The sequence below is a fragment of the Homo sapiens genome, chromosome 9 (assembly GCF_000001405.40).
Source record: "Homo sapiens chromosome 9, GRCh38.p14 Primary Assembly".
NCBI lineage: Eukaryota > Metazoa > Chordata > Mammalia > Primates > Hominidae > Homo > Homo sapiens.
Window position 1 is genome coordinate 73,136,907 of NC_000009.12, and position 14,549 is coordinate 73,151,455.

General features: G+C 35.1%; 2 annotated features.

Moving 5' to 3' along the window:
• Positions 7,038-7,342: a transcriptional cis regulatory region, noted in NCBI's record as "candidate enhancer chr9.871 targeted for multiplex CRISPR interference". NCBI's record gives its function as "positively regulates ANXA1 gene expression with high confidence in K562 cells {active_cell/tissue: K562}" and the evidence as "EXISTENCE:mutant phenotype evidence [ECO:0000015][PMID:30612741]".
• Positions 12,667-12,917: a transcriptional cis regulatory region, noted in NCBI's record as "candidate enhancer chr9.872 targeted for multiplex CRISPR interference". NCBI's record gives its function as "positively regulates ANXA1 gene expression in K562 cells {active_cell/tissue: K562}" and the evidence as "EXISTENCE:mutant phenotype evidence [ECO:0000015][PMID:30612741]".

Consider the following 14,549-nt stretch of genomic DNA (forward strand, 5'->3'; position numbering starts at 1 on the left):
TATTGTTAGAAAAATCTCTACAGTAATGCTCAGCAAAGTGCCAATGAGGCTTCTATGCAAGAATCAGAGTAGAAGGAACATATTGTCATAACTGTTGTCTCCTTGATTCAGGTCCAGTAGCAGAGTCTATTACTTCCATGTGTTTAAACATTTTTTTCCAAATTTAATACTGCAAATTATCACTTGGCCAAAAATATTGAGAAAACATAATTTACTTCTTCCACGAACCTTGACATTGAATGAATGCTAAATGCACACCATGCATACACATTCACATATATTTGTCTGTACTATAGCAGAACAATACCAATTCAGTTTTGTAATTTAAATGGCCAAACCTTGTTACAGTAGGTAAAACATTTATGCTCCCGAAGAGTGTAAAAATCTTAGACAATGAGAGTTACTTAAATCCTGAAAGTTGCCAGGGATAGTCATAGGGCCGCTGGTCTTTTCAGAGAAGTTCAAGCTTGCCTGAAAGATCTCAGTATGTGGCAGAGTGTACACTAGAGGGTGGGATCTGTTGAGCTTCATTCTTAATCCACAAAGAATCAGCTAGTCAGTCAACCATAAATAAACACAATGACATCATTACCTTGCCTCTTGCCACCTGGGCGTAATGCCCTGCAAAGTTTTATGTTTCAGAGTTTCAGAGTCATGGGCACAAGAACACTGTTGATTGATTAGAAATATTAGCAATAGCCAATGCATTAAAGAAACAAAGAGTGTTAATTCAGTTTTACCAGGATGGATTGAATTCTCTCCTTACTCATTTGACTTCAAGTAGCTCTGCACTGGCCTCTCGTAAAGTATTTACTCAGGAACTTATCCAAGTCAGTGAGGTATTAACAATGCTTTTATCTTTGATTCTCTTACTTAGCTTCATCCTTAATATGTTCTTACCCCCAACAACCCTACCACCTCCAACCGGTTTTTAAAATTATACCCAAGTAATATTTATTGTTCCTTACAATGAGATCATTATAAATTCCATTTTGTTCACTTTGAATTTTGTTTGTTAAGGACATACTCGCAACATGTTATTAAACAAGAAAGCCATTCTTCATTATTGTCATCATATTATCAGCAGTGAAGGATTTCATTTTAAGATGAAGAAAGGGGGAAAAAGAATGTTAGAATGCAGATACTGAAACTAGAATTGATTTCACAGATATTAATCTTCTGTATCTGTTGCTCAATCATGGGACTTGTGTTGAAATATGGAACAGGTCAGTATCGGCTCAGCTTTATTCTGCTCAAGTTCTCCTTGCACATATCCTTTTGGGCTACTGTAAGAGAAATATTACCAACTTTCCAATGCTGAAAAGTAAAAAAGATTGCCCTCTCTATTTATTATTAAAGAACTCCTTGGACACATAAGCTCATTCTAATATAGAGGCACCTCATCACTCATTATTAATTTAACAAGCATTTGTTAAGTGCCTATTATGAGCCAGGCACTGTGCTAGGAAATGGGACCAATAAGAAACAAATGAATTTATAGTCTGTTGGGGATACACACATTAAACTCCTAATTACACGGACTTAATCACACAAATAACTATATATTCACATTAAATTCACTAAGGAAAACTTCAGTGTAATTCCTCTTAAGTCATAGTTATACGTTCATTTTTCCCCCTAATTCTGAATGGGAATGCATGAATAACAATTAATTTAAATACCTATTATATATTGAGCATGGCTCTATGTGGTAGGTAGACATGTCATTTGAAGTCATAAGCAAACTAGCCTTAGTTCAGATATGTCATTTAATTCACTTTGCCTTTAGGGAAGAAAGTCTAAAATTCTGTGAGTTTCAGTTCTTGTTTATCATCAGAAAAATGGAAATGGTAATAATTTCCAACATGATAGTTCTGAGGTTCAAAGAGGCATTAAAAACACGTCAGATGCTCTAATGAAGTTTCTAAGAATATGGAAGCATTAAATATTAATATAAATAAGAATAAGGTTACTCAAAAAACTGAATGAGAAAGTTAAGAAATATATCATGTGAGTTGCAACTGGGCTTTCATAAATGCAAAAATTTATAGAAAAATGAGAGGACCATATTTACTGGGAACAGGATGAGCAATTGTGCATAAATGAGAGTCAAGAGCATTTTGAAAATTGTAGAGAAACTGGTTTCATTAGGCTGAGGATATATGTGAAGCTGAGGGTACAGAATGGGAAGGGAAAAGACAAGTCATCACCATTTTAGCCTTAACTGCAAATTGAAAAGGAAGAAAGAAATTAAATATGCTGTCTTCCCATTTTTAGTTCTGTTTAGATACTAAGACACGTGAAGAAACTTTTATTTGTACTTTATGAATTTTGTGTTCTGTGTTCTTAGAAATGATGGAAATAGTTACTCCCTGTACCTGGAAAACATGATTTCATTTGAAAATAGGTACAGAGCTAGGAAAACAGGCTCCTAAAGAACATGGTGTTTGCTTAAACTGACAAATTAGAAGTAGGAAAGATTTTATTGTTTTGCTATACATATTTTTATGTACATTTTCAGCATTGATAGAATACATGCACACACATACATACATCCAGTTTTAGGTAGAACCATAATTCTGAAATCATAATTCCCTTTATACCAGTGCAATGGATATATGTGAAAGAGAATCATTATTTCAGGCAGCAAAAAAATAATAAGACAAGATCAACTATTAGGAGAGAAAGAAGATTTTAATATTGATTTAAATTGGAGGATATTGATTAATGTTCTCAGTAATATGTGAAAAGAAAGAAAAGCAAGGTGCCAGTCTTCATAGAAAGAATACATTATATTTTAATGGAACAATGTCTTCCTGATTTCTTAAAATGAATGTTTTTGATTTAGATTTTGTTTTTCTCTTGAAGAAAATATAAATGTAATATTGCATACCGATCTGCCAAGGCTTAGGGCAATTTCGTTCTATTGTCTAAAACCTGAATCAAACCTTCTTTTGGAGCCATCAATGACATATATATTGGTTAGAGTTATAACCAAAAAGTGATTTGAATTAATACCTTCGGTAAATACACTATTGACTTAAGTGTAGATTATAAGAACTCCGCTGAACATAAATCTCAGTTTCCAGATGAGAAATGGTCCTTTTCCTAAGCGTAAAAAAATGGACATTCCCAAGTACTCTCTGTCTCTATATACTTTATGTCTCTATGGACCTTCTAGAACTTTGAGGTAGATTGCAACCTTTAATTGGACACTCCTCATCTTCTCTGACTACAAATGGACCTCCAAACTAAGCAGTAAACTGGTAGAGACTGGAGAAATCTTCAAAACCAGTCACGAAATTTCCAACTGAACATAATTTTAATAAGTTCTCCTCTCAAATTTGCTACCTTTGGGGGGCTATCTAGTTGAATGTACATTTTATGGAAGGTCATAAAAATTCAGATCTAATCTTTATTTTGTTTCTGATTCTCAGTAGCCATAGTTATTCAAAGAAGCACACCTTATTCAAAGTCCATCAATCTAGCCCAAATGGTATTTTACATTATGTTATGATTGAGCTGGGCTTTAAAAAGTACCTGGCAGTCAACCATGACAAAATGAGAAATTTATATAATGGGACTTCATAAATAGTGAAGTGCTATACAAATGAAAAGGGCTATGTTCAGCGTTAACAAAAATGAAAGACTCACAAAAAGATCACATTCATGGTTGTACATTGTCATAAAATAAACTATGGTTGCCTAACTTCATGATATTTCATATAGAATAGGTATAAATGAAACAAAATGAGGATTTATGAGCATTATAAAAAGATAGGCCTTATTTATATTTTCAAATTTTGTCATGTTATAGTTGATTATGACAAGTAGTTACATGATTCACCACTTTTGCAAAAACATCACATGCATAAAGAATTAAGCCAATTACTTTTAGTGCTGGAATAGTCGTGAGGTGGTATTTATGCTGATAGTAAGATTTTTTTTTTAGATTAAGTCAGTACCAACAAAAGACTTTATTCTGTGTCTGTTGCTACCCAATGGAAGTAATGTACTTACTTTTTATGTTCTTTCGAAATTCCATTTTAACCATAGTTCACTGCTTAGATTACAGAATAATGTTTTTTAGGAATACCAGGAAGAAAATATAGACAATTTATTTTAGATAAAACTTTACGGATTTGAAATCTTTTCAGATAATAAAACTGGAGATTCCAAGTAAGACAGTGAGTGGATGTCATTTCTGAAAGAATGTTGTCGACTTCCATTATTTTGTCTAAGAAGTATTCCTCCCTGATGTTAAGAACAGCCTTATCTTCTTCTAGGTAAAACAAATCACGTGGTTCTATTGAGGTCTTCCCATCACAATCATCAACTCTATGTCCTCAGTGGATTGTTTTAGGTATAGACCACTGACTCAAGCTAGATCAATCAATACACATGCACAGGATTTTTACTTTAATTTTCTCAAACAGGGGAAGAAACAATGCTTGCCTCATAAAGAAGCTGCGAGATGTAAGGATAAGAATGTTGGCTGTCATGTTGCTACCATGATGAGAAAAACTAGTCTGATAAATGCAGAGATAAGAGAAAGAAAAAGAAACTTCTAGCAAGATTCAAATTCCTGGTTCCAAAAGAGTCTGAGAGCCAAGTCTAAATGTGGAGTTACAAAATATACTCCAGTAATTTTCCAGTACATTTCCCCCTTTCTGACTAAATTTGTTGCAATTCAGCTTCTATGCTAGTAACCCTGACTAATCTGGGGAATTTATATTTAAAAATACAAATCAATAATACTACTGTGAAAGGAAAATCTTGGGGCCCCCAAATTACTAAGCTAAGGGAAAAGTCAAGCTGGGAACTGCTCAGGACAAACCTTCCTCCCATTCTATTCAAGTCATCTGCTCTCTGAGATAGTTGTGTATTCTGATTGCCTCCTTTGGAAAGGCTTATCAGAAACTCGAAGAATGCAACCATTTGTTTTTCACCTACCTGTGACCTGGAAGCCCCCCTCCCTGCTTTGAGTTGTCCCCACCTTTCTGGAAGGACCCAATGCAGTTCTTACATACATTGATTGATGTCTCATGTCTCCCTAAAATGTATAAAACCAAGCTGTGCCCTGACCACCTTGGGCACATGTCATCAGGACCTCCTGAGGCTGTGTCATGGACGCACATCCTTAACTTTGGCAAATAAACCTAAAATGATTGAGACTTGTCTCCTCATTTTTCTCGATTGACACCATAGATCTTATTTATATTAAGGAACGATTAATCAGTAAAATTGAGACATGCTGGTTGTAAAGTTGCCCTTGCTTACAGGGCACTTTTCCCGGGAGAGTTGCTGAGGACCCTGCGTTGCTTACCTTGCCAAGCTCTCCGGAGCCCATTTTGAACCTATTTCTCTACCCTGTCCTTCAGTAAAGCCTACTTGCTATATAGCCCAGCCCATTGTGAGAGCTCAATAAATGTCAGTAATTATCACCATCTGCCCCCTCCCAGCCTTTTACATACATTGTGGAGTCTGGCGCCCTGTCCTCTGCTGTTGACAGCTACTACAGCTGGATTTAGTTGAATTATCTTCTGATGTCCCTGCTCTGTGCCCCTGGTTTCATTGGCCCAGGTAGGATGAGTTATTCCTCCGCAATTTGACTTTCACTCTTAAACACAACACTGATAACGGCGTTTCCAAGGCCCCCTTTTTCACAGGCCTTTGGGGCCCACAATATTAATGGATGCGTGTAATCCCATCACAACATGGCCACGAGGGGCAGATATTAAATTTGGATGCCTTCAAAGGTCTAATCATGACTGCCTTTAATGTTATCAGTCCATTCTGCTTTTTTTTTTCTTTTTTCTTTTTTTTTGAGACGGAGTCTCGCTCTGTCTCCCAGGCTGGAGTGCAGTGGCGGGATCTCAGCTCACTGCAAGCTCCGCCTCCTGGGTTCACGCCATTCTCCTGCCTCAGCCTCCCAAGTAGCTGGGACTACAGGCGCCCGCCACTACGCCCGGCTAATTTTTTGTCTTTTCAGTAGAGACGGGGTTTCACCGTGTTAGCCAGGATGGTCTCCATCTCCCGACCTCGTGATCAGCCCACCTCAGCCTCCCAAAGTGCTGGGATTACAGGCGTGAGCCACTGCGCCTGGCTTTTTTTTTTTTTTTTTTTTTAATTAAAGATATTGGCTATGCTTGTAAGAAGATGAGACACTCTTCTATTTATGATCTGTTGGCTGCAATTACCGCTTAAGGCAAAAGTACTGTTTCAAAATCTGCACTACTTATGAGTAGACTATGGAAATCCTATAAGATGAAGATTAAGCTTTTTTTTTTTTTTTTTTTTTTACATAAGCAACAACAACTTATATCACTAGAATGTAAGTTTTGTGAGGGTAGTAGACTTTTTGTCTTGTTCAGTCACAGAATCCCTAGTGCCTGGAATAGCACTTATTATGTGTGATTGCTAATATTTTTTTTTTTTTGGAGAGCTAACACATAGTTACTGGCTACGGTTGAATCACTTTGCTAAATAATTGAATAAATGTAGAGTATTTTGTGTGTGCACCTACAATGTGCAAAGCCCTGTGAAAAAGATCAGGTATGAATATGAATGAGTAGTAAAGAAACAGTCTAGGAGGGGAGGGATACAATATAAAAACAAGTACACTACAAAGTCAAGTAAAATGACTTAGTATTCAAGATCCAACCAGTGTGCAGTATGCTTTTTAGAGAAGCACCACTCCTTTTTATAAAGATTTGAAATTATACTGTGGAGGACTGGCTTTTGAGATGGGTCTTAAAAATGTGAATAGGATTTCAACAGAGAGAGCTCAAACTCAGAGAAAGCCTTGCCCCAGAAATCAGTTTGAAAGTCTTCTGAGCCTCTGTAAGACCAGTAGAAATAATGTCTCAATAGCTGAAATAACTTTAATTTATTAAGCAACGCAAGATCTTCAAGACAAGTAGTGTAAGCAATTCTAAGTGTCCCCTCCTTTGGGAAAAATGTGGTTTTTCTACCATTTTTTTTTTGAAGTGAAATGAGTAATTTGAAAACACCTCTTTTGTTTTCTTCTTTTTCTAAAGATCTCATATTTCAATTTAAAGCATCTGCCAAGTTAAAGTTGACCTGCCTGTTTAAAAATATACAGGTATTTCAAGAAAAGAAATGGTACTATCTTCCCATTACTTAGCTTCAGGGAGGATTATGCAATCCCCTGACAATCTTTCTCCCCTAATTCCCTACTTCCGGGCAAATTCTAAAGTCATGATTCATCAGACCACAGTTAGATATCCTGAACTCTTGAAACTTCTTCTGCAAAAGCAACTTTGTTTGCAAAATGGGTTCTTCATTAATTTTCCCAGAAACACTTTTTTTCTGTTAGTGACATTCACTATACAATAGTTCTCCTCAATGCAGTACTTATTTTTAACAAAACACTGTCTATAGAGTTTTAAAAACTATCTCATAGTTATATTAAATTTAGTACATTCAAGCTGCATAGAAATGTAACTTAGATGTTTCAGTTTAAAGGAAGTTTAGGAAACACTGTATTTTAAGAAGTCCATGAGGCAGTTCTGATCTGCATTTCATTTCCATATTGCAAATATCAAATACTATGAAAATATTTGCCTAACCCATCATTTCTAATCCCAGTGAGTTTTTGGTGCTCCCCCTTCACCCAACTAAGCCTTATTCTCTTTACATTTAGAACACTTTAAGCAAATTTACCTGTGTCCATAAGCAAATAAGTCTCAGCTCCAGGCAGCTGACTTCTTGTTCACCCAGATGGAAATAAAACTACAATGTGCATATTATAAGCACCTGCCACAGCCTCTTTAAAAATGCCAAACCTTAACCAGGCAACAGGATACAGTTTCAAATAGGAAAAGGAGTTTTTGATGGAGCCTAAGAATCTTTAATTCTCTGGATTGACCACTGTAAACCCATTAGCTGAATTTAAATTTCTTGGAGTTCTTCTGAATCTGGCTATTACATGTGGAATTTAGAATTGTTTCTTTTTCACATTTTGCTTATTTTTAGTCTCTCCAAAGGACTCCTGGTTATGTATCAGATTTAGGGAAAATGTTAGAATTTGCATGTTTGGCTTTGAGCTTAAAGATGATCATAGTTATGTAAAGTGTGCAGGTTATCCCCCTTCTTATGTTATATTTTTACCCTTTTTTATGGCAGTTTTGTGGCCTTCCATAATTGTATAGATATATAAAAAATACAAATACTTGAAAAGTTAAGAGGATGATTTTTGTATACTAACTAGCTACACAAGTGTCACTTCTAATATTTCTGTACAATTACGACATTGCAAGACATTTTATTTTAAATTATTTGGTTATTAAAATTTGTCTTATATCCCTTGCTATCATTATGCATGTAGAAAAAAAAAGATGTGTTGTTGCAAAATTTAAGCATTGTTACCTTTAAACTATGGTTAGTGCAAAATAGGTGTCTTTTCACTTCAACTGTAACCAATTCTGCATGTTCTTGGAGGTGCACATCAAGGGACTTTTTGGTGATCTTTAGATTTGTAGGTGCACTGCTGCTTCATGAAAGAGACATTCTGGCCCATCCATTGCCTCCCTTAAGTCTACACGAGTGTGTAGACCCAACTCTACACAGATCGGGTGGCTTAATTAACAGAAATTTATTTCCTCACAGTTCTGGAAGCTACAAGTCCATTATCAGGGAGTTAGCAGTGTTGGTTCCTTTTGAGGCCATGCGGGAAATATCTGCCCCAGGCCTCTCTCCTTGGCTGTGGATGGCTGTCTTCTCCCTATGTCTTCACATCATCTTCCCTTCGAAAATTCTTGTCAGTGCTGTTTCTTAGTCTCTGCCCCTCAGCATTACTGTATTTGTCCCACTAGAGGACTAGGGGTTCATCTCTTTCTTCCTATTAAATCTTCAACCAGGAAAGGAAGATATGAGGAGATCCTCAGTGCAAGGAATGGCCCTCATCTCAAAGGCTAGTAACTCTTTCCTTGTACTGGTTCACCTGTTCTCCCAAATATTCTGGAAGCTTATTTCATCAACTATGCTGTTTTTTGTTAGTTTGTTTGTTTCCTGTGGCTTCACTCTTCTTCTATAGCTCCTCATGGTCTACCTGAGAACACGTTCAGATTTCCCAATGCTACCTCACAATTAATATCTTGTTACTCTCTTTCGGTTTTCCACCATTTAGTGAAAGCGTGTATGTCTAAGAGTTGCCTACACTTAACTCCATATCCTCAGCTCCTATGGTCTTCTCAAACCAATTTCTCTCCACTGTGTTTCCAAAACCCCTTATCCTTAAGGCCACCACCTCTTTCTTAATTTCCAAGTACAAGAGCCATTTCTAAATGACTTCCTTTTGGAGCCTCTTTCTAAGTGACCATTTTGTATCCTTTTGCAATGTTTTTCACAGCTTTCTTCCTGACACTTTCACCTGCAGTTGCGTCATCAGGATTACATTATCTTGGCTTGCTTTCTGCCCCTCTTAATTATCTTATTCTGTGTGTTTTTTATTTTAATAGTTGCTGCCAAATGACTTTCAAACCAACAAGCAAACAAGCACCAGCAATATATGAGTGTATCCTTTTCTAATACCATTTATTGCTGGTAAAGGTGTTACAGAAAATTTGAGGTCATCACCACCCTGATGGGTATATATCCATATACTGTCATTTCTTTAAACAGTATTTCCCTCACCAGTGTAAATTTGAACAACTTTTACTGTTTGTTTGGCAATTTGGATTTGCATATCTGCTGACTCGGAGGCATTTGACTGTACTCAGGTTTCATCCATTTTTGTTGTTTGGATTGCTTGCTTTACAATTGATAAGAGCTCCTGGTACACTGTAGATAGTAACACTTTGTTAGTGCATGTAAGGAAATATGAAGTTTTTGTAAGAATCTACTGATTTTGCTTATTTTTTCCACTTGAGGATTTTTATTTGCCTATATTAAAAACACCTCTCATTTCTTTTATAATAACAGGTTTTAAGCCACAGATTAGTCTCCCACCACAGAGATTATAAATGTTATTCTCAGAATAGATTATCCTGAATAGTGATCTTTTGCAAGTTACTTTTAACAAAGTATAACCATATTTGACTTGTAAATGAGAAAATGAGATTTAGGATTTATCAAGTTTCTCTTTGAAAGAAAATTTCATTTTTCTATTGGATAATAATCTATTTATGATAAAGTTAACCAAAATCACCCCAACCAATGCAAAGCAAACATTTATTGTGGCTTGGTCTGGAAAACTTTCATTACAAATTTAGCTACAAGATATTTACAGAATATCTTGTAAAGTTTATTGTTTGTTTTATATATTTACTCCCATTTTAATTCCAGATCCATCCAGATCCATGTTTTTTTATTTTTTAAGATAGTATAAAGATCCAGTTTTTGTTTAACTATGCTAGTTTAAAGAATTGTTTTAAATCACTTTTTAAACCTATTGAGTTAAAATAGAAATTGAAAAAAAGTCATTATTAAATTTAAGGATATTAATCTTTGGTTCGTGTCATAAATCCATGGAGTTGGCAATGATTATGTGAAGACTTGCTGTATTTTTTGTGTTCTGATTACATAAGAATTTTTGAATTATTATATTAGAAATTATATGGTCCTGGTATATCTTAGAAAGTATATAATCAAATGAAGTTCCTTTTTTTCATAATAGACTCTAGTTTTTAGAGAAATTTTAGGTTTACAGAAAAATTGAGCAGAAAGTACAGAGAATTCTCATATACTCAATTTCCCGCTGCTCTTAGTTTCCCCTGTTACTAATATTTTGGATTGATGTGGTCCATTTGTTATATTGGTGAACCAATATTGATACATTATTATTAGCTAATTGCCATAGTTTACATTAGGGCCTACTCTTCATGTTATACATTTCTATGTGTTTTGCCAAATCCATAATGTATGCATACACCATTACAGTATCATACAGAATAGTTTCACTTCCCTAAAAATCTCTTTTTTTTTTTTTTTTTTTTGAGACATAGTCTCGCTCTGTTGCCTAGGCTGGAATACAATGGGGCAATCTTGGCTCACTTTAACCTCTGCTTCCCAGGTTCAAGTGATTCTCCTGCCTCAGCCTTCTGAGTAGCTGGGACCACAGGCGTGCACCACCACGCCCAGCTAATTTTTTTTTGTATTTTAGTAGATGGGGTTTCATCATGTTGGTCAGGCTGGTCTTGAACTCCTGACCTGATGATCCGCCGCCTCGGCCTCCCAAAGTGCTGGGATTACAGGTGTGAGCCACCATGCCCAGCCCACTTCCCTAAAAGTCTCTTATTTATTACTCCTCCCTGCCACCAACTCCTGGCAACCATTGATCTTTTTACTTTCTCTATAGTTTGCCTTCTCCAGAATGCATCTCATTGGAATGAAACAGACATAGCCTTTTCATACTGTCTTCCTTTACTTAGCGATACTCATTTATGATTCCTTCATTTCTTTTCCTGGTTTAAAAGCATTTCTTTTTATCATTGAGTAATAGTCCATTACATAAACGTACTATAGTCCATGTATTCACTTACCTCTTGAAAAATATCTCAGCTGCTTCCAATTTCTGGTAATTATGAATAAACTGCTATAAGCATACATGTGCAGGTTTTTGTGTAAACATGTTTCCTAACTCATTTGGGTAAATATCTAGGAGCACAATTGCTGGATTGCATTGTAAGACTCTGTTTATCTTTGTAAGAAACTGCCAGACTATTTTAAAACAGCTGGAACCTAGAAAGCAGAGTTTGACCTTTTGACCTTAACACATATCTTCATTTTCCTTCTGCAAAACTTCTTGAAAATTATTGAAGTAAAATTTGTTATTATAGCGAATGTGACAAGGTCTTATTCTCTTACTTTCGAATAATATAGAGAGGGATATGGATACTATACTCAGGGATTAAACAAAATAACTTGTGCAATACAAAATTACTAATCCTAGCATGATCCTGATGTTGGAAGTATACTAGTTGAATCACCAAGTCATTCGCTGACTTTTCCTAAGTCACACAGTAATAGATACTAAGCCACCACCAAATTTGAGTTTTTATCTTCTCTAAGATTTTCCACCCACAAAAGGAAATATAGAGAGGCAGGGAGGTAAGATCTTTTTCCCTAAGTGAAGTCCAACAAAGGTACCTCCCTTTGGCTCTAGCTACCCACATGACTACTTCATTAACCTGAAAGAGTAAAATTTGAAAAAAAATTCTGTCTTTAATTCATGTGAATAACTGAGGAATAATAATAATAATAATCTCAATAACTCAGTGTGTGTGTGATAATTATTTGCCATGTTTAGAGGCAAAGGGAAAACATTTAGAATGTTAGCCCTCAAAATGCTTTGACCTGGGGACACATGAGAAACACACACTAAAATAATGATTTTTGTTGGCTGTGGATAGGGGGTATGAGGAAGCTGTGGGGAGATTTTGGAATATCTGTGAAATGCTGTTCTTGATCATTCAGAATATACTCTTTCTTCCATATAACAAGTAATGCTTAGATAGAGTTAAATGTAAAGGATGAGGGGACAGCTTACTAAGATCAGATATTTTGCAAGAGTCTTATGCACAATGAGATGTATGTGAGAGACTCCATATTTCCTCTCCTTGTTTTGTTTTGTTTCCTCTTCACTATCAGATTCTAAACCAAATGAGTGAAAATAAACATGCTGTGAAAAACGTAACATATAGAGATTGATTTTAACTGTCTTTTTTCTTTCCTTCTCTTTCTTTATTTTCTCTGTTTGTAAAGTAAGTGGAGCCGATGAATCATCATCTTCTAGAAACAGCAAGAGTGGTGAGTCATTTCTCTGGAGTATGTGGCATTTCACCCACAGAAAGCATTTAACCCATGATTATCCCCTCACTGTTAATGATAACATATTTTACTTGTTCTTTTATTTCCATAAATCTACTCGACATTATTATTATGCGGAGAAAAAGATTCTGACAGATTATTCACAGCAATATACCTACATGATTAGTGGCTTTCTTTTTGTGTTATGTTTGGGAGTTTCACTTGCCTTTAGTGTTACAGCTGGAAGTTAATTTTGGAAAAACATTCTTTTCACTTTTTTTTTCTTAATTCTGCTACAATTATCATATTTATTGTTGCTATTTTAGGTTTGCCTATGTATTACAAATCCAAACATATAAAATAATTCCATTCAGTTTATGGCACTGGTAATAGCAGCAACAAAGCAAAATGAGACTATACATGTTTTCTAGGTTGTTATATTTTATAAAAAGTAAGTGGAATTTTTTCTTCATTTCACAAGAGCATCACTGTGCAGGAATGTTCCAATAGTTCCATTACCAGAGTTAGGAATACAAACGCAAATTAAAGAAAAAAAGAAAACCAGATTTTGTATAATCATCTTATTCCTTCTCACCTGATGACATAAATATGGTATTAGAAAGTTAGTCTACATCTGTCAAGATCAATTTGCAATAATATCAATTAACTTAACTTGTTAGCAGGTAACTAATTAATTTTCAACTTACACATATGATAGTAAAAACATATATTGACATTTTCTTAAATATTTAGATTAGATGATCATCCTACTTCAGGATATGTTGACTTCATTGATATTGGCATCGAGCACTTAGAATGTATTATAAAATACTGCCAATCTTTAGAAAGTATTTTCATTAACTTCCTAAACTTCATGTTTTTTATGTGAAATATCTATGAGGAAAAGAGGAAAAAGAACAAACCACTAAATGCAGCATAAATTGAGCCATAATGCTGTGAGATTTTACACCTGTGCACTTTAATGGAAACATCATATAATACTTTGTAGGGTTTAAAGAAGAATGAAAATGAACCACTATGGAAGTTACCAGAACCAATTTTCCTCCATTGGGTGGGAAATTTCTTATGGAATGTGTTCTGTAATAGTTGCTGCTCCATTAATCCTTTCATTTTATAGGTCTAGTTCCTTGTTTTGGTGTTCAACTAGTCTACAATGTCAAAGATGTGTATCAAAATGTATATATAACTGATCTATATTACAGTTTATATATATAGTTCTATGTAACTGACTCTATTTAAAAGAATTAATGTAGATAGGCCTTCTGATGTCAATGCTTTTATTGAATGTCATAATGATCAAATTTTTGGCATTACCTTTGTTCAAAATTTTGAGCCAATCTGGAACTTTATTACTTCTATATTTCTTATTTATAACAACAAGCTATATCTAGGAACAAAAGTCGTTTATTTTTTAAGGCAAGAAAAATATAAATAGAAAATTATTCGGCACTGTGTAATGTTAAAATTTACAAATATATGTTATTTCTCCATTGTCACAAGAATTCTAGTGGGTAGACAACTTAGATAATGCTCCTATATACAAAAGTAAAAACAGCTAGGCATGGTGGCTCACGCCTGTGATTCCAACTCTTAGGGAGACAGAGGCAGGAGGATAGCCTGAGCCCAGGAGTTTGAGACCTGCCTGGGCAATATAACGAGACCCCATTCTCCACAAAAAGCGGGGGAAAAAGACAACAAAACAAAAGTAAAAACAGGTTCAGAAAAATTAAGTATGTCCCTAAAGTCACAGAATAATA